Source organism: Homo sapiens, chromosome 1 (genome assembly GCF_000001405.40).
Source record: "Homo sapiens chromosome 1, GRCh38.p14 Primary Assembly".
In the NCBI taxonomy this organism is placed as follows: domain Eukaryota; kingdom Metazoa; phylum Chordata; class Mammalia; order Primates; family Hominidae; genus Homo; species Homo sapiens.
Genome location: NC_000001.11, coordinates 17810330 through 17834840, shown reverse-complemented (window position 1 = coordinate 17834840; position 24511 = coordinate 17810330). Strand labels below are relative to the sequence as shown.

At 45.2% G+C, this 24511-nt stretch overlaps 1 protein-coding gene across 2 annotated transcripts in view, besides 1 other annotated feature; it reads right to left on the bottom strand.

Moving 5' to 3' along the window:
• Positions 1-7777: 7777 nt before the first annotated feature.
• Positions 7778-24511, bottom strand: part of ACTL8 (actin like 8) — a 71731-nt gene continuing 54997 nt past the window's right edge. For both annotated transcript variants that reach the window (NM_030812.3, XM_011542212.3), the window contains exons 2-3: positions 11485-11856; positions 7778-9074 (exon numbers count right to left, since the gene is read on the bottom strand). In NM_030812.3, the coding sequence (NP_110439.2) occupies positions 8322-9074; positions 11485-11832 (1101 nt within the window). In that variant the 5' untranslated portion in view covers positions 11833-11856 and the 3' untranslated portion in view covers positions 7778-8321. The remainder of the gene's footprint in view (positions 9075-11484; positions 11857-24511) is intronic.
• Positions 8224-8813: an enhancer, noted in NCBI's record as "H3K4me1 hESC enhancer chr1:18152523-18153112 (GRCh37/hg19 assembly coordinates)". NCBI's record gives its function as "activates a minimal SCP1, AML or CMV promoter by ChIP-STARR-seq in naive H9 embryonic stem cells {active_cell/tissue: H9 hESC(naive)}" and the evidence as "EXISTENCE:reporter gene assay evidence [ECO:0000049][PMID:30033119]".

The following is a 24511-nucleotide window of genomic DNA, read 5'->3' as shown; positions in this document are numbered from 1 at the left end:
GAATGGCCCGACACGGCCTTTCACAGGTTCCCTGCGGAATGGGGGTAGAGACAAAGCTGAAGACAGGAAAGGCTGGTAAGAGCTCCTTGCGGGAACCCAGGTGAGAGACGGTGGCCTGTGGAGCAGGTAAAGAGTGGCAGTTTATGGAGAGAGTCTGAAGTCAGAGACAACAGGGAAAGTATTTATTGTGACTCCTGCTTATCCAAGGTGAATCTGACTTTCAAGGTCATGGCCACCAGGTCAACAGTTTAGCCTAAAGGAGTCCTTACCTGACACTGACATTCTCTTTTTTGACTCCAGTCCTCCAGAAGCTGGAGGAGAGGCAGCTTTTCACATTAAAACTCTTACCCAGCACTTAAAGGAGAGGCCTGGTCTGAGCCTGCTCTGAGACGTGCCATGAGGCTCTCAGGGGTGTCAGGATGAGAGCATCCATCTACATCTGGCAAGATGCTGCTCCCTGCAGCAGAGTCACCAACTCACAGCCTCCAGCCACAACTGATAACCCCAGACCAATTGTGTCTGTTCATGCCAAGGACCCCCTATGAAAGCAGCTGAAAAGATGAGTAAACATGATCGCAATCACGATAATCATAGCAGCAGCCAACACTGCACATTCACTAAGTGCCAGGCCCCGCGCTAAGCTTTCTGCTTAAGGTAAGCTCAGATAATGCTTTATAAGCCATAGGGTAGATACTATGATTATCCTCATTTTAGAGATGAGGGGTTTGGAGCTCAGAGACGCTAGGTAATCAGCCGAAGGTCACACAGCTAGACAGTGACAGAGCCAGGGTGGAAATTCGGGCTTCTCCTCCAGCCTTTATCCTTCCAGACTGAGCGGCTCTTGGCTGAACGGACCCTCTCAAGGGCTCACCAGGCAGATCCACCTTGTTTCACCTCCTCATCGCCTTGGCCCCGGCTCCACCATCCCCACCCTTCTCTTCCAAGACAGGGCCAGCCCTCGACACGTACCCCCTTTCCCTCCCCATGCACAGATGGTTCCACTGACTCCCCAAGTCAAAGGCTCCCCCATTTCCTACCTGGAGCGAGACCACATTAACTCCAGGTAGAGAGCCAGGTGGTTGGAACCAGGTGCTGCTTTTAGAGAGATGAAAGCCAAGTTGGTCTTTGCTTATTGCAGAGACAACAAACTCATACCTTAGCCAGGCCCTCAGGGACCATCTCTAATGACTATGCAATGACTATGGTGTTTGATAAAATAACACGACCACAGGAAGATTGTTTCCGCCACCTCCATGGCCTCCTGATGGGCCAGGCCCTGTGCTAAATACACAGCCACACACAACCCTGCTGCACAGCTGGGGCTGATGGCCAGTCTGTACCATTTTGCAGATGTGGAAACTGAGGCTCAGAAAAGCTAAGTAACCTGCTCAGGGTTTTGCAGCTAGTGAGGGGTAGGGGATGGGCGGTGGGGGTGAAACAACAATTTGCACAGTTTCACTGTCTGCACGGCCCACTCTCCCAAAGACTATCACGCCAGCTAGGCGAGGGAATGCGTCCTGAATCATGTTCTCTTCAGCAGGTTAAACATCACACCTGCAATTTTGCTCTTTTACTTTCAACCAACCCATTCTTTGCTCCATAAATCACGCAGTATCCTACCCTTGTCAAAATCATCAAAGGCCCAATTAACCCTGAATGCCGTGGCCCCTTCTCTGCAAACTGCCCCCAAAACCATGGCATTTCAGGCTGGGAATATTACAAAGCTGGTGGAAAACCAGCCCAGCAGGCAAGCAAGCATTCACTCTACAGTGACCCCGTAGGGGGAAGGGAAAGCCCACATGGGTAAGAAAACCACCCACAGCAGCTAAATTCCGACTGCCAAGCCTTTATTAGTGGTGACAAAAGGTAGCAAAAACAGCACAGAGCTTTCTACTCCCAGGTGGGGGTTGCAGTCCCAGGAATTAGTCATGTTTTGACTGGTAGAGTTATGGAATTCATAATGGAGGCCCTGGAGAAATTAAACCCGGATTACGACCAACCCCTTCCCCCTGCCGAATGTCTCCAGTGGGAGCAACATGGCAAGGCTCTCAGTCGCTCCAGGAGACTGATTTGCTGGCTGGAAGAGCTGGGCTAAGATCATGACCCCACAAGCACAGGGTTACAGAGGAGATGGCTCTGGCCTGCCCCCCACCTCCCTGGGGGTATGTCCACTCCCATCAAACCCTAAGGAGTGGGAGTCAGGTCTGTTCTCCATGTCCCCAGCAGCCCCACCTGGTGTTCAGCAAGGCTTGCCAAGATGAATCTGTGTCTTCAGTTCATCAGTGTTGTCCTTCCTAGGTGAAAGCAATGTCCTCTCCCTGGAGGGAGGTAATTGTAGAGGGGACAACCACAGATCTAGGTAATCAGGAGAATGGCCTGAATTTGGGCGAGTGTCATTAACTCTGTATTAATTACAGAAGAAGAGTAGACCCACCTCTCATACTCTGATTTTAGGGCCTCTTAAAACTCTGAAGATTCCTAAGATGGTTGTATATCAAGATCCTAACACGTTAGTGGAAAAGTTAATCAAAAGGACAGGATGAAAAGGAACCTTTCCTAGTAGCATGAATGTGTGCTGGGGCCCGTGCATCATCGTGGAGTCTCCTGGCATCCTTAGTCCTGGATTTTTCTTGCAGTGATTCAGGGAGAAAAATTACCTTTATTGAGCACCTACTATGTGCCAAGCTCTGCTAAGCCACTTTACAAACATGCTTCAATTTAACAGAGCCTAGCAAAGGGCCTAGGACACAGAGAAAGTGCTTACTGAATTTCACTAAATGGATAAATGGCTTTAATTCCCATATCAGCCTTATGAGTTAGGTATTATTATCACCACTTTACAGATGAGGCCATGGAACCAGAGACGGGCAGTGCTTTGCCCAAAGCAACACAGCTTATAAGTGAGGAACAGAGATTCCGGCCTGCATCTGCCTGACTTTGACAACAGAGTTTGTCCTCTCCGCCAGGGTTCCTGCTTTCTCAGTAGGGACTGGCTTCTTGGAACCAGAAATCATGAATGAGAGGGGAGAGGAGGTGAGAAGCCCAGGGGAGCTGTCCAAGACTTGTAGTGCTGAACGGAAGAGCTAATGGAACAAGCACAGATGTACGCAACTGACGAAGAGCTGGTCTTGCCCTCAATGTGAATTCATCTCATTTTTCCACCTTGAGATTACTCTTCCGAAGTCTTTCACTCTGGGCTGCCTTTCCTGCCATAACCCAGGCACTAAAATAGCTCCAAAATTGATAACTAATTGCAACCACTGCTGGAGGATAGGGAAGATCTGTTAGCCCCTCAAACTCACCAAGACCCCAAGTATCACTGAAGCCAAATTCCCAACCCAAGACATCAGAGGGGAACAAGGTCCCAGGTGATATAGAATTGTTAGCCTAGAGTCTAGTGAAATATCTATTTTATGGTGTATGTTATCACTCTTTGTCTGATCCCTCTCTGAGCCCCTATATTCTCCGAGCTATACCCAGAGAGCCCTGCGTTCTCCAGTGATGTCATAATTCTGCTTACAAGTCTGTCCTTGATGTGACCCCTGATGTCCTTCAAGAGCTGAGCCTGTCAACAACCACCTTCATCCTTCCCTACTCCCTCTCATTCCCCAGCCACTTCAAATGTTCCATCTATTTAACCCCCCATACCAAGGTGTCAAAGGCAACCATGGGGGTGGCAGTGGGGAAAAGCATTCCAAACAAAAGGAACAGCATCTGCAAAGTCCTGTTCCTCTGGCAAGAGCCACCTCAGGCATCATTTCCTACAAGAAGACACCTCTGGCTGTTTACCTCTCCCTGGTGCCATGTACCCTCCGACACCTGTGATACCTCCGTGTCCAGAATGTGATTCTACCCCATCACTCCATGTCTTAGTCTGTTCCTGCTGCCATAGTAAAATACCACAGACTGCATAATTTACAAAGATTAGAAATGTTTGGCTCACAGGTCTGGAGGTCAAGATCAAGGCACCCACAGATCTGGTGTCTGGTGAGGGTCCACTCTCTGATTCCAAGACCGTGCCTTATCGCTGCATCCTCCAGAAGGGAGGAATGCTGTGCTTTCACATTGTGGAAGACTGGAGGGCCAGGCACACAAGGCCCTCTTCTATGGGGAATTAGTCCCATTCATGAGGACAGAACCCTCATGACAATCACTTACTTCCGAAAAGGCCCCACCTTTTTACCACCACCACTATGGGGATGAGGTTTCAACATGAATTTTGTAGGGATACAAACATTCAGACCACAACATTCAGACAAGAAAAGAAATTACCCTGCAATGCCTTTCCCCGGGGAAACTAAGCCAGCACTTTATGTTTTAACCATGTTGTATCACTAGCATCTATCTGCCTGTGAACAAGTACATATAAAATGAGCCAGGTGTGTGCCTAGGGATTTGGCCAATAGAGGCTGGTGTGTACGAAATAATAGCTAACCTTCATGTGCCTGGTGTTCGCTTAGTGTTTTATGTATGTTAACTCACTAAAACTATATGGCAATCATCTAAGCCACCCTGAGGTAGGCATCTTTATTGGGCCCACTTTACAGAGAGGCAAAGTAAGGCATAGGGAGGTTAGCAGAGCCAGAAAGCAGCAGAGCGGGGACTGCAGTCCATGAAGTCTGGCTTCAGAGCTCATGCCCTTGTCCATTTTACCATCTGTCTAAGAAAGGGCCCTGGAGGTGGGAGAGGCCACACACTTCTCCTCTAGAGCCAGGAGGGTGCTCAGTGTCAATGTCGACTTGGTTCTCTGCATCAGCAGAACCTAAAGTTTCTGCCAGGGTTATCTTGGGGAACTCAGGCATCCAAACCCTACCCACACCCAGATGCAAGGGTACTAAGCCCCAGCCTTGGCAGCAGAAATTGGCAGGACTGTATCCTCAGAACTGGGGATGGGTTGCCTGGGGGCTCTTTCCCTTTGTCCCCTCTGCCAGCCCCACCCAGCCCCTGACCCAGCTGCCAAGACCCTGCCTCCCTCCCCTCTGCACCTGGCTGCCCCTGGCAGGCAGCCCCAGACCTCTCACAGAGGATGAGCCTCCTCGAGCTCTGAGCAGCTGCCAGGACTTGCTGGAGCCCAGCAGGCATCTTCTGGGCACCACGTACCACCCCGCCAGGCCAGGCGTGCCAGCAGTTCCGCATTAGGTTGAAGGCCCCACACGGCCCATGGAGCTGCTATTTTTAATTTAATTGGAGAGTCAGAGGAGAGAGATAGTACCCAACAAGGGAGTTCTAAAAGCTTTGGGAGTGGGGGAGGGGGGAGAGAAAGTGAAGAAAAGTTCATAATTATACACTAGGCAGCCAGATTTGATGCTTGAACAGAAAGGTTAAATGTTACATTCAGAATGAAATGAGGAAAAGGGTTCTGATGACAGTTGCCCAGAGCTAAATAAGGAAAGAAAATGCCCCTTGCCCATCTCCTCTCCAGGCCCTCCTTTTCCTTGTCCTCATTTCTAAGTTTCCCCCACTTCTGCCTTTTAAGGCTCAGGTGTGTACAAATATAGGGGTTTCAAATGCAAAGATTTCTGCCCAGGGTGCCCACACCTCGACTGCTATCCGAAAGCAGCTTTCACACAAGCCTGGAAAAAATCACACATCCGCATCTCAGGCCAAGGGAACCAAGAAGGCCCAGAAAGCTGAGAAGGCAGCCTGCCACTATCGGTGATAACACAGGCTTTAGTATGGACAGACCTAGATTCAAAGCCCTCCTCTGCCAAGGAACAGACACTGTGAATCAGCTCACTCAAACCTGTGTGTCACCTATTTCAGCTACCTCCAAGTAATGAGCCAAACAGAAATCTGCTAGGTGACAACTTTCTAATAGCAAGTGACAGACCCAGATAAGACACTCCCTTCATGCTTCCTTTTCCTGCAGGAAATATAGGGGGTGATGCCTGGAGCTGCCACAGCTGTTTTGTGACCACAATCCAACAAGCCTACATGCTGAAGGTGGAGAAATGGAAAGAAAAAGAGAGACCTTGGTGATGTAGATTTGACACTGTTCACCTGGAGTGTCTACTTGTTGCCTGAGACAAATAAATCTGTTTCAGCCACTTTTAGCCTAGTGTTCTAGGAATGCTGAATCCATTCCTAACTCTGACAAATCATGATTAGCTTGAACTTGAGTGTGAACTTGAACAAGTGTTTAACATCGCTCATCTTTGGTTTTCTTATTTGTAAGTGGAGACAAACGTCACTCATTTCACAGTGTGCACGTGAGGATTAAATGTGATTCCATTTGTAAAGCTCTCACCACAACGCCTGGCAAGCGATGGTAGCTGCCATTGTTATTAACACTCATGTTTAATAGGCGAGTGACATCAACTTAAAAGCTTGAAAGTCATTTCTCTTACCTCAGTAGCACGTCACAGCTTCAAAGTGAGTTCTCATCCCCTATCTTAGTTCATCTTCAACTCCAAATCTCTGAGAGAAGGTGGTTATTACTTCCTATTTTATACTTGATAGACTCAAAGAGGTTAAATAACTTGCCCAAGGCAGCTCAGCTCATGATAGGGCCAGCCTGAAACTCAATCTGACACCAAGTCTGGGGCTTGCACCAGGCTGGTTCTGAGTTGGTCTACCTAAGAATTGTTATTCCAGGCCCCCACTCTTTTCCCTGGGGACTGCTGATGCTTCAAGTGTGGGAGCAAACACATGAGAATATGGCTCATGTGTTCAAAGACAAGGTGAGTTGGACTCTGCCCTCCAAATTCCTCTACTTGCCCTGAGATATCTGGGTTCCTTGAGCTTCAGTCTTCCAAACTACACTTGTTACTCTATTCCAGCTCTTAACATTAAGGAGCCAAGAATCCCTTTCAGAAACAGCTGGATAACACTGTGGTTGAGAGTCCAGGCTGGGTTCAAACCCCAGTTCTGGCACTTAACAGAAAACACATTTTATTAAATAAATAGTATATTGTGGCTCCCTTCTCTGTATTAGTCAGAGTAAGCAAAACAGTTGCTGTAACAAACATCCCCACACTCTCAGTGGCTGAACATAGATTCCTCATGCCACAGGCTAGTGTTGGTGGGGTTGGGCAGGGGTTTCTGCTCCACCTAGGCACTCAGGCTCCTTCCATCTGCAGCATTTGCCATCCATCCCCTAGGGCTTACACGTCCTCCCCATTGACCCATCCCACAGGCTGTGAAGGAGTATTTTTAAGGTCAGGTGCATGCCAACTGAGCCAGAACTCAGCCACCTGGCCCTATATAACTGCTGGAGACTTGGGAGCATTGCCTCACAGTGTGCCGTGGAAGGAGAAGACACAGTTACTGATGGTCCCTAGCAACCTCATCTCAGTCCACTCCATTGAAAGTGGCCATCCCTCCACCTCCAGATCACATGACCGTGTCACATTTGATTCATTTCATTCTTCATCATCAGAAATATGTTTACTTATATACTGTCTACAATAGATCCCACAGGAGGCTGTAAGCTTGAAACCAGAAACCTTGTACATCTTTCTCAAGTCCCCAAGGTCCAGCACAGCTCCTAAAACATGCTAGGTACTTGAATATGCATCAGATATATACCAAACAAATACGAATAAGAAGGGAAACTTTAAACAGAATATTGGGACACCTGGGATGGATGGATAGAATGTGGCAGTGAAAGAACACGGGGTCCAGACCCTTGCCTATTCTGCTCAGTGGCAGCCACTGTTCATAGGCCCCAGACACCTCAGAGCCCGCCCTGGCCCCCACCTGGCTCTCTCACACTTACACTCCCTAAGTCTCCCCAAGGGGCTGCGCACCCTACCCCCATCCATCACAGGAGCCAGCATTGCTTCCAAACAAGCTATTTATTTGCAGATATAAAACAAGATCCAACCACGGGTGGCAAGGGCATCCCAGGCTCACCTGCAGCAATGCCTCCCTGGCCAGAAAGGGCCTGTAGGACCAGAAATGTCAACTGTCCCCCATCCCCTAGTCAAAAATAATTGGGACTCCTAGCAGGAGTGCTACCCCAGTTAAAACCTACTCAACCAAGAAGAATGAGACAAACCAGGGGAAATGCCAATGAAAAATCAGTGGCTCTCAGGCATGGAGATGGCAGTCAGCCACTCATACCCCAATGATAGGCCACCCTGGAAAAACTGTCCCCTGCAGGGTTTCCAAGGATGACATCTTGTCTTCCCCCTTGGGTAGGTCCCACTCTTGCAACAAGATAAAACCTTAGAACCTAAAAAATACCCTCATGCCCCTAGAATTCCAAAGCCAGCTCACCCCACCCCACCTCATTCTACCCCCACCCAGAACATTTTGCTAAAATTAATCCGCCCGTGCCCATCTAACAGGAGCCCATTCTCAGGAGTGAGCCAGTAGGGTCACATCCTCATATGCTCACCATACTCCTCTCGGGACATCCACTCAGACTGGTAGGTAGAAAGGTGAGCCACCACGGACGCTCCTAGCCAGACACTAAAGTTTCTATTGGAACCCTCCCAGACTGTGGCCTTGGTGGAGGAGACGTGATCCCCCATCAGCTCCCTGAACAGGCGCTTTGTGAACCCGGGATAGAGGGTGTTGCCCCCGCAGGCCATCACGTGGGAGACCAGCAGGGGGCGCAGGGAGATCTCGCAGGACTCCACGGATTCCACAATGGCCCGTGGGATGCTGGGCCCCGGCTGCTCGAACACCTGCGGGCTAAAGAACATCTCAGGAGCCACCCGCTGCATGGGGGTCAGCTCCACGCGGGAGCCGTCTGGGAGCTGATAGGTGTTGCTCTCATCCAAGGCACTCTGCTGCCTCTCACGAAAGTCCAGGGCCTCCCCCAGATTCTGCGGCACGTAGCACTTGTTCATCTGAGTCACGGCGACTGTCTCCAGCTGAAACAGGCAGCGTCTATCGCAATCTTCCTTAAAGAGACTCTTGAGGAGATAGGCGGAGAGATCCTGGCCGGCGAACTCCAGCGTCTTGCCGCTGGCGGGCAAGGGGCGGCCCTGGTGGAAAGGCTGCACGCGGGTCAGGCCATAGCCAGAATCAACCACCACTCCGGTCAGGAGGCCAGAGGCATACAGGGACATCTGCAGCTGGTCGGCCAGGAGGACCGATGGGACATGCAGCAACTCAAACAGGATCTGCAACGAGGGAGAATTCACTCAGTGCATTTCCCCCCAGCCTGCTCAGCAGTCAAAGCTGAAGTCAGCACAGAGCCCCATCCTCGGGGGGACTCTCGGGCTGCCCCAGGATGCTGCGCCCAGGGCCCCTGGAGCTTATGCAGTGAGGATAATGCAGCAGCTCTGGAGGATTAGAAGGGGAGCTGGGTTTGCCCTCAGGAGCTTGTCTGGTCGTGGCTGTTCAGAAGACCACTTCGGTGAAGAGGTGAGAAGAGCTCTGTGGCTGCAAGAAATGGTTCTGGGACACTGGCTGCAGGAGCAACATGGCCACGGGTCACATGTGCAGCCTGAACCGCCTCTTTAGAAGGAAGAACAGATTAGAAAAGAAACAAGTGTTGCGTATTCACCACTGTCTCCAAACAGTGGAGGAAGACTGGAAAAGACAGACCAGAAAGATAAGACAGACAAGAAAAAAGACGCCAGAACGAAGGAAAAAGGAAAGGAAGGAAGAAAAGAAAAGAAAAGAAAAAAGAAAAAAAGGGAAAAGATGCTCACTGCCTGGCAGGAAAAGCCTTATTTTTTCTTTTAAATAAAAACCTTACAAACGTCAAGACAAACCCGGAATTCTGGTATTTAGGGTTTGCCAGAGTCCCTGGGCTGGTTTTCTCCCCCTGCTCCTCACCCCCTGAATCTTTACAAAGCCCCCCTGCCCCCCATTCCTCAGCTCTGGCAGCCTCCCCAAGGTTCTAATCCCATAGAAGCAGAAAGATCCTAACAGTCAACCCTTCTGTGGTCCCAGCCACTTACTCACCTCTTCAAGCCCCCACAAGCCCATCGTCTCCCCTCAGTGGGAGGGGGCTCCCTCCATTACTACTCTCAGAAAATTGTCCCCCCACCAGCCATTTCTCAAAATAGCAGCCAAGGTCCTCTTTTTCAAATAGAAAATCAGATACAACTCCCCCATTTAAAACTCTCCATTTAAAACTCCCCAGGAACTTCCTATTCACTTAGAGCAGTGGCTGGCAAGCATTTTCTGTAAAGGGATAGACAGTAAGGGTTGCCAAATTCAGCAAATAAAACTACAGGATGCCCAGTTACATGTGAATGTCAGATCAATAATAAATAATATTGTAGTGTAAGTATGCCCCATGCAATATGAAACATACTTAAATACTAAGACATTATTTGTAATTTATCTGAAACTCAAGTCTAACTAGGCATCACGTATTTTACCTAGTAAACCTACAATAGTAAATATTTTAGCCTTTAACTTGATGTATGGTCTCAAACAGTCTCTGCTGCAACAACTTAACTCAGATGCTGTCGTATGAAAGCACACTCTGCCAAACCCTAAATATCAGAATTCCTGTTTTGTCTTCATGTTTGGAAAGTTTTTATTTAAAAAATAATAATAGGGCTTTACCTACCAGGCAATGAGCATATGTTCTTTTTTCTTTCCTCTCTCTTTCTATCTTACATAACATATAAATGAATGTGTGTGGCTATGTTCCAATAAAACTTTATTTACAAAATAGGTGGTGGGCCGGATTTGGCTCACTGGGTTGCCAATCCTTGATTTAAAGTAGAATCCAAGCACTCCCCACAGCCTACCAGGCCTACAAGGCCCAGCCTCCTCCAACCTCACCATCCTATTTGCCTCTTGCCGCTCTTGCTGCTGAAATCACCTCCGTCAGAGAAGCCCTTCCTGAGCGCTCTCTTCAAACAGGTTCCCCACCCCCAACAGTCCACCATGATCCCATTTCATTATGGTTCTAGAACTCATCACTACCTGGAATTATTTCTTAACCCCTTCATGGAAGCTCTCTGAGGGCCAGAACATGGCCTGTATCAGCAATTATGGAATCCATAAGCAAATATTCCACGTCTCCCTGGTAACCCCCTTTCCACCAAGCACGTTGGTTGCTGCATGTCCGTCTGCAGGTGGGGCCTCCGTGAGCTCCCCTGCTTAGTGGCACACCAGGCATTCACTAGGTTCTTGGGAAATGTTTGTGGGGCAATTTGTTGGTTTCTGTTGGGTTTTTTTGTTTGTTTGTTTTTTTGAGACAGGGCCTTGCTCTGTTGCCCAGGCTAGAGTGCAGTGTCGTGATCTCAGCTCACTCTATTCTCGACCTCCCGGGCTCAACTGATCCTCCCACCTCAGCCTCCCAGGTAGCTGGGACCACACCTGGCTAATTTTTGTATTTTTTATAGAGACAGGGGTCTCACTATATTGCCCAGGCTGGTCCTGAACTCCTGGGCTCAAGCAATCTGCCTGCCTGGGAGTCCCAAAGTGTTGGGATTACAGGCATAAGCCACCACACCTGGTTGGCAATTTATCTTAAAAAGCAGAATTCCTGGTGCCCAATCAGTCCAGACATAGTGTCAGTCTGTTTCCCGCTCCCGAGTGGGAGCAGGCCCCGGCAGGCCTCACCTCCAGCATCTTCTTTCGGTCCGCAGGCTCCCTCAAGGGTGTCTCCGTGATGATCACAGGGGGGACCTCTTGCTCCCGTCTGTGGTTCTCCAACACAAATGACCAGAGGTACTGCACACCCTCCCAGTTGAGGATGCGGCCCCGCTCGATGGGGTAGCTAAAGGTGTCAGGATGGCAAATGTCGATGCCCAGGCTCACACGCCTACGGGCATAGCTGGGGCCAGGGTTCTCCTTGCACGGTAGGTAGTTCACGATGTTCGGGAAGACCATCTGAGGCTCATTCCAGCCGGCCGTGCCAGCCTTCAAAAAGCCAGACCCGTGGTCAATGATAACGGTTCTTGCAGCCATGGCGGAGGCAGAGGTGGGTGGGACCTGCGGAAGCAAAGGATGGGGTTAGTTGTGCAGGCAGCCTAGGCCACCATAAGCAGCTTCCCCCTCTACCCAACAGTCAAACCTCAGGCTCCCCCTGAAGCTTGTCCACTGCCCCTTCCAAGCCTTTACACAAGCCATTACCTGTGCCTGGAACACTCCCCCCATCCCAAATTCCCAACCATCCTACCAGGCTCCCTTAATGGGCCACATCCAGGAAGTGGCCCCCACCCCTCCTGCCCACTCAGCTTCTCCCACTGCACTTTGCACACACATGTATCCTGCTAGGTGAGCACTTCTGCCCCACAATCCAACTCTGCAAAGGGTTGGATTACTCTTGGCAGACTCAGCAAGAAGCTTGCCACTTGGGAAGTCCTTGTAGACACTGGCTGCCTGATTAGAGGGCACAAGGAACATGAAACATCAGCCTCAGAGCCACCACCTTCAGTAATAACAATGTCATAGCAACAGCAGCAGAAGCAGGCATTGTATTAGTGAGCATGGCAGCAGCTACAGGGACCATTTTCTGGAGAACCTACTCTTTCTCCAGTACTACAAGGAATGCTTTGCATGTTAGGTTGGACTAGGTAAAACTGTCATTTGTGTCTGTGAAAATGGTCAGAGATCAGCAATTTCACATGGTTTCACTTGATACATGGACTCATTTAATATTTGCCACGATGTATAAGGCAGGTGACGTCCACTTTACAGATGAAGAAACTGAGGCACAGGGGGTAAGATTACTTTCCTAGGGGTATACAACTAACAAAAACAGAGCTAAGAGTCAAACCCAACCCAGACTGCAAAGGCGATGTCCTGAGCATCAAGCATGCGAGGCACCAGGCATTAGGTGTTAAACATGAGCTAAGCATCTAACACCTGATGATAAGGGAGACTATCAGGAAGACTCCATGATTGTGGTTAGTTTCTTCATCTGTAAAGTGGGGAGAACAGCAGCCCCCCTGCTGAAAAGGTAGGTATGGTCACTACCTGATGTTCAGACTTACTCAAAAGCTACAGTAGCCAAGACAATGTGGGAGGTACTGGTAAAAGAATAGTCAAGGCCAGGCACGGTGGTTCACGCATGTAATCTCAGCACTTTGGGAGGCCAAGGCGGCCAGATCACCTGAGGTCAGGAGTTCAAGACCAGCCTGGCCAACATGATGAAACCCCATCTCTACTAGAAGTACAAAAATTAGCTGGTGTGGTAGTGCGCCTGTAATCCCAGCTACTTGGGAGGCTGAGACACAAGAATCGCTTGAAACCGGGAGGCGGATGTTGCAGTGAGCCAAGATTGTGCCACTGCACTCCAGACTAGGCGACAGAGTGAGACTCCATCTCAAAAAGAAAAAAAAGGGAATAGTCACAAACATAGATCCATGGAACAGAAAGTCCAGAAATAGGCCCACACACAAAAAAAGTGTCATTTGCTCTTTGACAAGGTCGAAAAATAATTAAATGGAGAAAGGACAGTCTTTACAACAAATAGCAAAGAACAATTGGATGTCCATATACCAAAAAAAGAACCTTAGCCCATACCTCACACCTTACAAAAAATTAACTTAAAATGGATCACAGAAATAAATGTAAAACCTGAAACCATAAGACTTCTAAAAGAACACCTAGGAGAAACCACGAAGGCAAAGTTTCCTTAGAACATTAGAAGTCTGACCCACAAAAGAACAAATTGATAAACTGGATTTCATCACATTTAGGAACTTTTGTCCTTCCAAAGACGCTATTTACTACAAAGAGAATGAAAAGACAAGCCATAGACTGGGAGAAAATACTTACAAATCATATATTTAATACAGAACTCTCAAAACCCAGTAATAGGAGAAACAAGCCAATTTTTTTTTTTAATGGGCAAAAGCTTTGAAGAATCACTTCACCAAAGAAGATAGATGGATGGCACATAAACACATGAAAAGGTATTCAGCATTATTACTCATTAGGAAAATGCCAGTTAAAATCACAAGATATTTCTGTACACCTACCTATTAGAATGACCGAAATTAAGGCCCACCCTTACCAAGTGCTGACAAGGAAGTGGAGAAATTGGAAATCCCATGCACAGCTGGTGGGAATGGCAAATGACACCAGCACTTTGGAAAATGGTGTGGCAGTTTCTTAAAAAGTTCAGCATACTTTGGGAGGCCAAGACGGGCAGATCACCTGAGGTCAGGAGTTCAAGACCAGCCCGACCAACATGGAGAAACCCTGTCTCTACTAAAAATACAAAAACAAAAAAAATTAGCTGGGCGTGGTGACACATACCTGTAATCCCAGCTACTGGGGGGGCTGAGGGAGGAGATTCCCTTGAACCCAGGAGGTGGAGGTTGCGGTGAGCCAAGATCGCACCATTGTACTCCAGCCTGGGTGACAAGAGCAAAACTCCATCTCAAAAAAAAAAAAAAAAGTTCAACATACACCTACCGTATGACCTGCATTTCCACTCTTACGTATTTACTCAAGGGAAATGAAAACGTACGTTCACACAAAAACCTTTATGCACATACGTATAGTAGCCAGATAGCCTTATTCCTAACTGCCAAAAATAGAAACCAACCCAAAGTCCTTCAGCTAGGGAATGAATACACAAATCTCCATTCAGTGGAATACTACCTGGTAATAAAACAGAATGAACAACCGATACACCCCATAACATGAATATGTGCATAAATCTCAAATGCCCGAGGCTGAAAGAAGCCAGACCCCAAAGACGACAAACTGTATGACTCCATTCCCATGACATTCTGGAAAAGGTAAAACTATAAGGACCAAAATCAGATCAGTGGCCGCTGGCAGCCAGGTGGTGAGAGGGGATGACCAGAGGGGACATGGCAGAATTTGGGGCCATGATGGAACTATGCTGTATCTTGTTTGTGGAGCTGGGCACACTTCTGTATGCATTTGTTAAATTCCCGCAACTATATTATTTTTAGAGTAAACTTTTAGTAAAAACAAAGTTTTTTTTTTTTGAGACAGGATCTCGCTCTTGCGCAGGCTGGAGGGCAGTGGCACGATCGCGTCTCACTTCAGCCTCAATCTCCTGGGCTCAAGCAATCCTCCCACCTCAGCCTCCTGGGTAGCTGGGGCTACAGGTGCAAGCCATGCACACCCAGCTAATTTTCCTAGGCAACAGCCTAGGCTGGTCTCAAACTCCCGGGCTCAAGCAATCCGCCCACCTAGGCCTCCCAAAGTGCTGGGATTACAGTTGTAAGCCACCACACCTGGCCCTAGTAAAAAAAAATTTTAAGGGAAAAATCCAGCGGGTGTGGGAATATTCAATGAAAGGTGTATGAACTCATCTTGCAGAATACAAATTGTCAGACAGACAGCAGACTGGGTGCCTAGACTGTATGTGGGTGTTTCCTGTAAGAGAGGCCTCCGGAAAGGCAGCTCAGCCCGAAGGCAGCATTCTGGGGCTGTCGCTCCCCCAGCTATCTGCTCGGCTTCCGTTTCTGGACAGCAGTTGCATCTACCCATCACTATTGAGCATGAGAGCCATGGCCTGGCCCTGGCCAGTGGCTCCCTGCTGTCACCGGCTGCAGGGCAGAGAACAGGCTTATCTGCCTTTAATCGGCTCTGACATAGACCTGGGGAGAGCCAAGAAGGAGCGTGGAGATGGAGCTGTGGTGACCGGGCCTCCTGCCTCGCCTCCTGGCAGGCTGAGTGATAGATTCCTCACACTCAATCATCCAGAGTGACAGAGAACTGGCCGGCTGCATGACATTCCGGGAAGCGGGCTCTGCCCTGCTGAGAGCAGGTGACTGATAAATGCTTCTCGGCCCTGGCATGTGGTGTCATGGGAGACGCTGGCAGAGTGATCTCCACTGTGGCTGTGAAACAAGGTGCGCATGGCAAGGGTAGGGGATGGAAAAGGACTCCAGGTTGGTGGCCCAAGTGACCTGACCTGGGAGGAGGAGGCTGGGAGGCAGGGGCCATTCTTCCCCTGGCACATGACTGTAAAAGAAAGTTTGGATGGGTCCAAGGAGCCAGCTTTGAAGACAGAGATAAAATCTGTATATTCAGAAGCATTTTTACTAAGCCACCAATTCTACAAATCCCCATTAGCATCTACCTAGGTATAAAACCGGTTCTAGGCTGGCATGATTTCTCCCCTTCTGGAGTTTACATTCTACTAAGAAAGAACATCCATAAGCACCAAATCAAACACAGCATGTCAGGGAAGATCAGTACAGCGGAGAAAAAGAAAACCTGGTAAGGACAGGGAACTCAAGAGGCACAGAGGCACAATGCCATTTTAAGCAGAGCAGTCATCAAAGGCCTCCTTCTAGGGTGACATCTGAGCAGAAAACTGAATGAAGTGAGGGAATAAGGCATGTGAATACCTGGAAAAGCATTCCACCCCAAAGGAACAACAAGTGCAAAGGCCCTGAGGAAGACAAGGTCAGATGAGTTCTAGGATCAGCCAGCAGGCCTGTGTAGCAAGGACACGGTGAGTGGAGGGAGGATACTGGAGATCTGAGAAGGGCCTTGCAAGCCTCTGTATCATGCTTGCAGATGTGGGAGGCCACTGGGGGCTTGGCCAGAGGAATGGCATGATCTGACTTCACTTGTGAAAGGATCACTTCGGCCAATAGAAAGGATAGACTGCAGAGAGCAGAAGAAAGATTACAGGAGGTGAAAGGTGTGGGTAGCCTGCGCTAAAGTGGTGGCCAGGAAGAGGGTGCAAGGTGATCAGATTCTGGATATACCTAAGTAAGGCTCATAGACTGAAATGTTAGACCAGAAGAAGAATGAAGGAAGATACCACAATTTTTAGCCTGAAAAGCTGGAAGAATAAAGTATCCATTTACTATGATGGAAAAGACCATGGGGGAAGAGTTTGGCATTTGGGAGGAAATTAAGAAATTTATTTGGGACATGTTAAGTTGGAGGTGCCTATTAAGTGTATGTAAAGATCTCTGAGCTAGTGGTGTAATTGGGAGTTCCTGAATGGATGGAATTGAACGTGGTTGAGGTCAGGCACGGTGGCTCACACCTGTAATCCCAGCACTTTGGAAGGCCAAGGCAGGTGGATCACCTGAGGTCAGAAGTTTGAGACCAGCCCGGCCAACATGGCGAAACCCCGTCTCTACTGAAAAATACAAAAATTAGCTAGGAGTGGTGGCACGCACCTGTAATCCCAGCTACTCAGGAGGCTGAGGCAGGAGAATTGCTTGAACCCAGGAGATGGAGGGTGCAGTGAGCCGAGATCATGCCACTGCACTCCAGCCTGGGTGACAGAGTGAGACTCCATCTCGAAAAAAAGAAAAGAAAGAAAGAAAAAAGAAAAGTGGTTGGGATGGAAGTGGTCATGAAGAGATGTAGTGTAGACAAAGATTTGTGCCTGAGGGCCTCTAAGGTCTAGTGGCCAGGCCTTGGGAAGGCACCAATAAAGAGGACTGAGTGAGAATGGCCAGGGAGGAGGGCAAGAAACCCAGAGGGAACAGTGTCCCGGGACCGAGCAGAGAAAGTATTTCAAGAAGGGAAGAATCGAATGGGATGAGAAATTAGGAGGAAAACAAAGGACTATCCATTGGATTTAGCAACATGGAAGTTACCAGCAGCCTTGGCTAAAGCATGTCCATTGAAGAGGTGAGAAAAAGCTTGAAAAGGTTGATTCAAGAAAGGGTGAGAGATTGAGAGCAATTCTACCAAACTGGCCCAGGCTCTGCAAAAATATCACAGCATACACAACAATGAAATATTAAAGAAGTGTTCAAAATTGAAAGACATGGCAGCCAACACCACGCACAGTTTCTGATCCCAGATCAGAAAAAAAAAAAAAATGGCATTAAGGTACATTACCACAGGCTTCTGATGCTCACCAGGATGAAGTAAGCCTCCTTCAGCCCTCTTTCCTACTGAGTAGGACTAAAAATTCTAGACAAAATGAAAAAACAAATAAAAAACAAAAAACAAAACAAAACAAAAAACCCAACAACCTGAGGACAATGAGTGAAAAAAATAACAGGCAGACTGAAGAGAATCAAAACTTGGAGAAGCAACCTGCAGAGGGTGAGGTTCCTATTTGTTTTATTTTCCTGTTTTCTCTCAAACTTTGACCTGAGACAAGTTTCCAGCACAGCCAAGACTGAGCAAAATCCTGTCTCTCTGGACATAAGACCAAGAAAAGGAACCTATGCAACTCAAAGAGTTGGGGAAGAATACTGAAGAAATGGGAGCCAGTCAGAGAAAGGATTCCCCAGATTCTATATATGAACGGGCACAGGTCCCAGCTCACCTGTGCATGGCTGGGACACACCCATGGCAGTAGAGCACAGGCCTTTGTACTGAACTCACAGCGGAATCACCACCCACAAAGGACAAGACGGAGTTGCAGGCTGCGTGCAACAGGGGTGACTGAAGGCTAAAACACAACCAAATAAATGTTCTCCATAGGATGTTAAAAGAACACAGAGTCTCACAGCATAATGCTCAAATATTTTTAGCCTGAAAAGCTATTAATATTTTAGGCTGGGCACAGAGGCTCACGCCTGTAATACTAGCACTTTGGGAGGCCAAGGCGGGTGGATTGCTTGAGCTCAGGAGTTTGAGACCAGCCTGGGCAACATGGTAAAACCCCATCTCTCCCAAAAGTACAAAAAAATTAGCCAGATGTGGTGGTGTGTGCCTGTGGTCCCAGCTACTCAGGAGGCTGAGGTGGGAAGATTGCTTGAGCCCAGGAGGCGGAGTTTGCAGAGAGCTAAGATTGCACCACTGCACTTCAGCCTAGAGACTATGGGAGCAAAACCTGGTCTCAAAAAAAAAAAAAAAAGCTATTAATATTTTGAGTTCTATTGCATAGCATGGTGAATATAGTTCGTAACAGAGTACTGTACATTTCAAATTCGCTGACAGTAAGTTCTGAAAGCTCTCATCACAAATAATGTTAAGGATTAGAGGTAATGGATGTGTTAACCAGCTTGATTTACTTATTCCACCTTGTATTCATAAATTATAACATGTTGTATCCCATACATTTATACAATTGTAAATTCTTAATTTAGAATAAAAAATAAAAACAAAGAAAAGTTCTGCTCCATAGAATAGAGACGACAGAGGAATGAGTAAGGGGATTTTCAAATATCAATAGAAATTATTCAATCTAAAACACAGAGAGAAAAAAATTTACTGAGCAAAGCTTCAGAGACCTGTGGGGCAATATAAAGAGATCTAACATTCATGTCATTGAAGTTTCAAAGTGAGAGGAAAAAGACTGGCTCAGAAAAAGTTTTGAAGACATAATGGCTAAAAATTTCCCAAATTTGGTCAAAGACAAATCTACAAAGCCAGGAAGCTCAGCACACCCCATAGAAAATAAATTCAAAGAAAACCATGCAAACCATCCAGAAAACCACATTATAACCCAACTGCTAAATACCAAATATTTTTTTAAATCTTCAAAGAATCCAGAGAAAAATAAAACACTAAATATAGGTGAATATCACTTTGAATGACTGCAGACTTCCCACCAGGGGAAAAAAAAAATGGAGTCCAGAAGACAGTCAGGCATCTTTAAAGGACTGAAAGAAAAGAGATATCAACTCAGAATTCTATACCCAGCAAAAAATCTTTCAGGAATGAAGTTAAGACATTCTTAGATGAAGGAAAACTAAGAAAATTACTAGCAGAACTGCTTTAAAAAGAAATGCTAATTAAAGCTCTTCAGGCTGAAGGAAAATAATGCTGAATCTAGCACTCAGGAATGAAGAAAGAGAAACAGAAACGGTAAATATTTAAAAAATTATAAAGTATATTTTTCTCCTCCCAAAATATGTATGGCCATTGAAAGCAAAGATATGGTATAGCCTACTACTTACCTAGGTTGTATGGTATAGCCATTTGCTCCTAAGCTACGAACTGGTACTGCATGTTATTGTACTGAATACTGTAGGCAACTGTAACATAATGGTATGTATTGTCTTGTTTTATTGGTAGATATGGAGTCTTGCTATGCTATAAACGGGTACAGCATGTTATTGTACTGAATACTGCAGGCAATTGTAAAATAATAGTACGTACTGTTGGTAGATATGGAGTCTTGCTATGGTACAAACTGGTACTGCATGTTATTGTACTAAATACTGTAGGCAATTGTAACATAATGGTATGTATTGTCTTGTTTTGTTGGTAGATATGGAGTCTTGCTATGCTACAAACCGGTACGGCATGTTATTGTACTGAATACTGTAGGCGATTGTAACATAATGGTATGTATTGTCTTGTTTTGTTGGTAGATATGGAGTCTTGCTATGCTACGAACTGGTACTGCGTGTTATTCTACTGAATACTGTAGGCGATTGTAACATAATGGTATGTATTGTCCTGTTTTGTTGGTAGATATGGAGTCTTGCTATGCTATGAACTGGTACTGCGTGTTATTCTACTGAATACTGTAGGCGATTGTAACATAATGGTATGTATTGTCTTGTTTTGTTGGTAGATATGGAGTCTTGCTATGCTACAAACGGGTATGGCGTGTTATTGTACTGAATACTGTAGGTGACTAACATAATGGTATGTATTGTATTGTTTTGTTGGTAGATATAGAGTCTTGCTATGCTACAAACTGGTATGGCATGTTATTGTACTGAATACTGTAGGCAACTGTAATATAATTGTATGTATTGTTTTGTTTTGTTGGTAGATATGGAGTCTGCTCTGTTGTCCGGGCTGGTTTTGAATGCCTGTCCTCAAGCGTTCTTCCTGCCTTGGCTTCTCAAAGGGCCAGGAATACAGGCATGAGCCACCATATCCAGCCAGTAAGTATTGGTGTATCTTAACATAGAAAAGGTACAGTACAACTACAATATTATAATCTTATGGGACCACCATCATATATGCCATCTGTGGTTGATCAAAATGTCATGTGGTGAATGACTGTAATCGAAATTGAAAATGGAAAACAAATAGTGAAAAGTCAATAAAGCCAAAAGCTAAAAGCTAGTTCTTTGAAAAGATCAAAGACTAAGAAAAAAGAGAAAAGACACAAAAGACTGCGATCAGGAATGAGGTGGCATCACTTCAGACTCTACAGACACAAAAAGGATAACAAGAGAATATTAGGAATAACTTTCTACCTGACACTTTGACAATTTAGGTAAAATAGATAAATCCTTTAAAGACATAAAGTACCAAAGCTCAATCAAGAAGAAATATATATTTAAATAGCCATATAACTATTAGAAATAGACTTTTTAGTTATAAACCTTCAACAAAGAATACTCTAGGTCTAAACGGTTTCACTGGAGAATTTACCCAACATTTAAGGAAGAAATAATACTAACGGTACACAATCTCTCCCAGAAAGCAAAAGAGGAGGCAACACACCCCAACTCAGTTTGTGGGGCCAGTATTACCTTGAACCAAAAGCAAAGATATTACAAAATAAAACAAAACTCAAACCAAAAATCTTTCATGAAGATATATTATTCTTTAATAAGATTTTGGCAAGCCCAGTAATATATAAAAAGAATAGTACACAATGACTAAATGGGGCTTCTCCCAGGAATGCAACACTGGTTCAATATTTTAAATCTGTATGATTCAAACGAGTAACAGACTGAAAAAGAAAAACCATATGACCATCTCAACAGATGCAAAAAAAATCAATGGATAGAATTCAACATGCATTTATCATAAAAATCTTTAACTAGGAACAGAGAAGACTTTCCTTATCCTAATAAAGAGAATATCCAAACACCTACAACTCACATAGGTAATAGTGAGAAGTAGGATGCTTTCTCCCTAAGACTGGGAACAAGGTAAAGATGTCAGTCCTCACCACGCATATTCAACATTGAACTGAAAGTCCTAAACCAGTGCAATATGGCAAGACTGAAGAAACAAAAGACACATGAATTGGAAATAAATAAAACTATCCCTATTTGCAGAAGACATAATTGTCTAAGTAGAAAATGCCAAAGAATCTACAAAAAAGATCCTAGAACTAATAAGTGAATTTGACTAAGTCACAAGATACAAGTTAAATATTTTAAAAACCAATTATATTTTATATACTATCAATAAATCGCTGAAAAGTGTTTCTTTAAAAAAGTATCATTGACAATAACATCAAAAATTATGAGAGAGATACTTTGGTATAAATCTAACAAAACATTAAATGTGCTTAAAACTACAAAATACTGATGAAATAAATCAAAGAAAACCTAAATAGAGAGATGGCCAGGTGTGGTGGCTCAGGCCTGTAATCCCAGCAATTTGGGAGGCTGAGGCGGGTGGGTTGCCTGAGCTCAGGAGTTCACGACCAGCCTGGGCAACACAGTGAAACCCCATCTCTACTAAAATACAAGTTCATGACCAGCCTGGGCAACACAGTGAAACCCCATCTCTACTAAAATACAAAAAAAAAAAAAAAATTGACAGGGCGTGGTGGCGTACGCCTGTAGTCGCAGCTTCTTGGGAGGCTGAGGCAGGAGAATTGCTTGAGCCCGGGAGGCGGAGGTTGCAGTGAGCTGAGATTGCGCCATTGCACTCCACCCTGGATGACAGAGTGAGACTCCGTCTCAAAAAAAAAAAAAAAAAAAAGGAAAAAAAATAGATATGCTATGTTCACAGATTAGACAATTCAATATCATTAAAATGTCATTTCTACCTAAGCTGCTTTATAGATTCAATCCTAATCAAAATCTCAGAATCCCAGCAGGATTACCGTTAGATATCAACAAGTTGATTCTAAAGTGTATATGGTAAGGCAAAGGAATCAGAATAGCCAAAACAATTTCTAAAAGAACAAAGTTGGAAGACTCACACTATCTGATTTCAAGGCCCACTATAAGTTTATAATAATCAAGATAGAGCTGGGTGTGGTAGCTCACACCTATAATCCCAGCACTTTGGGAGGCCAAGGCAGGCAGATCACTTGAGCTCAGGAGTTCGAGACAAGCCTGGGCAACATGATGAAACCCCATCTCTACTAAAAATACAAAAAATAAAAAAATTAGCCAGGTTCAGTGGCATGCACCTGTAGTCCCAGCTACTTGGGAGGCCAAGCCAGGAGGCAGAGGCTGCAGTGAGCTGACATCAGATCATTGCACTCCAACCTGGGCCACACAGCCAGACCCTGTCTCAAAAAAAAAAAAAAAGACAGAAAACCCAGTCATCAAGACAATGTGACATTGGTAAAAGCACAGTCACATGGATCAGTAGAAAAGAACAGAGTGTCCAAGAATAGACTCACACAAATCTAATCAATTGATTTTGACAAAGGTACAAGGACAATTCCGTGATGAAAAGATAGTCTTTTCAACAAATGGTGCTGGAAAAACTGGACTTCTCCGTGTAAAAATAATAACCTCGACTCATTCCTCACTTGTTTACAAAAAACATAATTAACTCAAAATGGATCATGTAAAATATAGATATAAAACAGAAAATTATAAAACTTCTGCAAAAAACATAAGAACATCTGTGTGACCTTAGATCTAAGAACATCTAAGTTTCTTAGGTACAACATCAAAAGCACCACTCATAAAAGAAAAAGTTAATATCCTGGACTTCACCAAAATTTTAAAATTCTGCTCTTTGAAAGACACTATCAAGAGAATGAAAATGAAAAGCCAAAGACTGGGAGAAACTATTTGCAAGTCACACATCACACATCTGCTAAAGGACTTGTATCCAGAATATATAAAGACCAACTAATAATCAATAATAAGAAAGCAAACAACTCACTTCCAAAGATGGGCCAAAGATTTTCACACTTCATCAAATAAGCTACACAGACGGTAAGTAAGCACACTGAAAGATGCTAAATGTCATTAGTCACTAGAGAAAAACAAATTAAAACCATAAAATTTTAAGGACAATACCAAGAGCTAACAAGGATGTGGAGAAATTGGAACTCTCATACACTGCTAGTGGGAATATAAAAGTGTACACTCTGGAAAACAGTTTAGGAGTTTCTTTTAAAGTTAAACATATACTTACCATACAAACAAGTAATCCTATTCCTATGTACTCCAGAGAAATAAGAACTTATGTTCACACAAAAACCCTTACACCAATGTTTACAGAGGCTTAATTCATAATCACTAAACAACCCAAATGTTCTTCAGCTGGTAAATGAACAAACTGTGGTACATCCATACAATGGAATACTACTTAGCAATAAAAAGGAACTATTGATATACATGACAACATCCATGACTGTCAAAATTACTATGCTACATGAAATAAACCAGACTTACATACTGCATATTCCCAATTATATGATATTCAGGAGAAGGCAAAACTATAGTAACAAAACAGATCAGTCGTTTCTGGGGCGGTGAGAAGAGTTAACTATACAGGACTGGAGGAATTTTTGGAGGTGGTGGAACTGTCTCATATCTTGATTGCCAGAGTGGTTACATGCCTGCATGCATTTATCAGAACTGAGAACTATACATCAAAAAAAGCGAGTCTCGCCACATGACATTTTAAGGTGAAATTTTTGAAAGAACATTTTGGGGACAGATGGTAAAATTTGAATATGGGTTATATTTTCAATGTTAAATTTCCTGTGTTTGATCACTATGTTGTGGTTTTCAAAGAGAATATTCTTATTTTTAAGCAGATCCATGAAAAAGTATTTACAGGTAAAATATCATGAGATTTACTTTCAAATAGATCAAGAAAAACCCAG